This window comes from Homo sapiens, chromosome 17 (assembly GCF_000001405.40).
Source record: "Homo sapiens chromosome 17, GRCh38.p14 Primary Assembly".
NCBI lineage: Eukaryota > Metazoa > Chordata > Mammalia > Primates > Hominidae > Homo > Homo sapiens.
In genome coordinates, this window is record NC_000017.11 from 27,412,042 (window position 1) to 27,414,865 (window position 2,824).

The 2,824-nt window shown below is 42.1% G+C and overlaps 1 long non-coding RNA gene across 1 annotated transcript; it reads right to left on the reverse strand.

The window, feature by feature from the left end:
• Positions 1–665: 665 nt before the first annotated feature.
• LOC105371705 (uncharacterized) lies at positions 666–1,926 on the reverse strand. Its single transcript, XR_001753055.2, has 2 exons — positions 1,813–1,926; positions 666–765 (listed from the first exon to the last, which is right to left on the reverse strand). It is a non-coding gene; the product is annotated as an uncharacterized LOC105371705 (long non-coding RNA).
• Between the last annotated feature and the right edge of the window lie 898 nt (positions 1,927–2,824).

Consider the following 2,824-nt stretch of genomic DNA (forward strand, 5'->3'; position numbering starts at 1 on the left):
ACATTTAATCTCACATTTTCCCTTCTAGTATAAAACCTACATTTTATAATAGAAAAGTTTGGACTCTGGCAGGGCACAGTGGCTCATACCTGTAATCCAGCTTTGGGAGGCTGAAACGGGTGGATTATCTGAGGTCAGGAGTTCGAGACCAGCCCAGCCAACATGGTGAAATCCCATCTCTACTAAAAATACAAAAATTAGCCTGACGTGGTGGCACACAACTGTAATCCCAGCTACTTGAGAGGCTGAGGCATGAGAATTGGTGAACCTGGGAGACGGAGGTCACAGTAAGCTGACATTGCGCAACTGCACTCCAGCCTGGGCAATAGAGTAAGACTCTGCCAAAAACAAACAAACAAACAAACAAACAAAATCAGGCCAAGCGTGGTGGCTCATGCCTGTAATTCCAGCATTTTGGGAGGCTGAGGAGGGCAGATCACGAGGTCAGGAGTTCGAGACCAGCCTCACCAATATGGTGAAATCCTGTCTTTACTAAAAATACAAAAATTAGCCGGGCGTGTATAGACCCAGCTACTCAGGAGGTTAAGGAAGAAGAATCGCTTAAACCCAGGAGGTGGAGGTTTCAGTGAGACAAGATTGCGCCACCACACTCCAGCCTGGGCGAAAGAGCAAGACTCTGTCTTAAACAAACAAACAAACAAACAAATAGAAAACCTTGGACTCGCCAGTGTTAGCTGCTGGAATGAGGTGTTTGTCCAGTACATCCAGAATGTTACAACAGATTAACTTTAGCTCAGCCTCAACCTAAAAAATGAAAATAAATTTTAAAAAATCGGATCAAGTCTAGAAATTCTGTAAATTATTACACATTCTATCTACCTCTGGTTTTCAATAAGAGAGCTTAGTATTAAACAGAATTCATATCCTCCAAACTTCCTTCTTCCCTCTTGACACAAAAGCCGAGAAAAGCTGCCTGTAGGTTATAAAAAGTATCTTTTCCTTTCTTCATTCTATTACATGCTACACACACACACACACACACACACACACACAGCCTCACAGTCCAGCTAGTCAATTACCACTGACTAAAATTGTACACTGGTGCTTCTTAGTTAATGCTGGTCAATTATATGAATTAACTTCTTTTACAAGGTAACAACTATTGTGTCCATTTACATGGGCAAACAGAAGCTAAGACATTTGCTCAAAGATCATCAGCTTAAAAGAACTTAATACGCAGAGCTAGGATTTGAACCCAGAAAGGTCGAAAGGAACAGAATAAAATTCAAACCCAGGCAGTTTGCCTTCAGTACTCTTATCCTAACAACGTTCAACAGGCAATTCCTTTAGTGGTAGAGATCCATAACTAGTTAAGACACCAAAAACCTATGGACCAAAGTAACTATTGCCACTCATCTCTATCCATTTATAATGCTGAAAATGTACACCACCTCTAAACGCACATACCCAGCTTGCTTCCTGTTTTCTATTAACTCATGACACTACTGTTGAAACTTTCTAGGTTCCTCTCATTCCCCTGGAACCTCCTTTCTACTATAAAACATTCTCTCACATTTCTTCCATAATCACATCCTTATCTTAGCTAAGCAAAACTATTTTCTGAATAAACTACCTCCCTGATGGCTTTTCAAATAGAGCCTGCTCTAGGAGAATGAAGATTCCCATGTTCTCCTAGCTCCTCACATACTCAATGACTGCTCTCCTGTCACTCCAAACCCTTCCTCTTCACAAGCTGATATTCTACATTCTGTTTCTCAGTTTCTATCATCGATAGATCTCTAGGCCCTTCTTCCAAATTCACTGAGTATCTACAGCCAACCTATCCAATACCTGAGATCACACCAAGGTATGGTGTGGCCATGTTCCATGCAAAAATGTTCTTTGCCTTCTACTCCAAGACATTCACTTGTCCACACCCGTAACTGTGCTGCTCCATACTAGAAGTCTGAAATTGTAATACTCCACTCTTGGCCCATGACTTCCTTTTTCAGTTCCTCTTCTCTGTCATTTCTACTTAGGAACTCATCAAGACATCCAGACTCTTTTTTGTTGTTGTTGTTTTCTCTTTTTTTCTTCTAATGCATGTATCTCATTTAAGATGTCCAGACTCTTGAACTTCTCACATCTCCTCCCAATTTATCAGCCGCTCTCTTGCTTCCTGCTTCCCTTTCCTAGCTAGCCCAAATCTCACGGTGAAGCGCATGGGCTTTTTTCTTCAGCACTTTCAACTTTCTCATTTCCTTATTCCTCTGGGACACAAAACTTGTCTATTGATCATCCAAATTCTTTGAACAAACAAACATATTTCAGGGTAATGGTAGCATCAGTCCCAGCTTACAACTTTATTTTTAGATACAGAGTCTCACTTTTTTGCCCACTACTGGGCTCAAGCGATCCTGCTGTCTCCATCTCCCCAAGTGCTGGGATTGCAAGCCATGAGTCACCATGCCAGGTTCCAGCTCACAACTTTCTATGTGACCTCACGTATGTTACTTAAACACTTAAAGCCCCGACTTGTGCATTTATAGGTTGGGATAATACCTACCCCTTCCAGTGCCATTTTAAAGATTTCATATAATACCTTGCACAAATACCTATGATAAAACTATTTCCCCACTCAGAACAGTGCCCAGTAGAGCTGGCAAGTCAGTAACTGTGGTTCCCCCACCTTGCCCTCTCCCTAGCAAGCTCACTTTCCACCTGCCCTGTAATTCCCTTCCCTGTTCTCTTTCATGTGTCTACGTGCCTGTCTCTTCCACTGGAATCGGTTTCTCAACAGCAGCGCTATTGACAGCTTGGGCAGAATCATTCTTTGCTGTGGGAACTGTCCTGTGCATGGTAG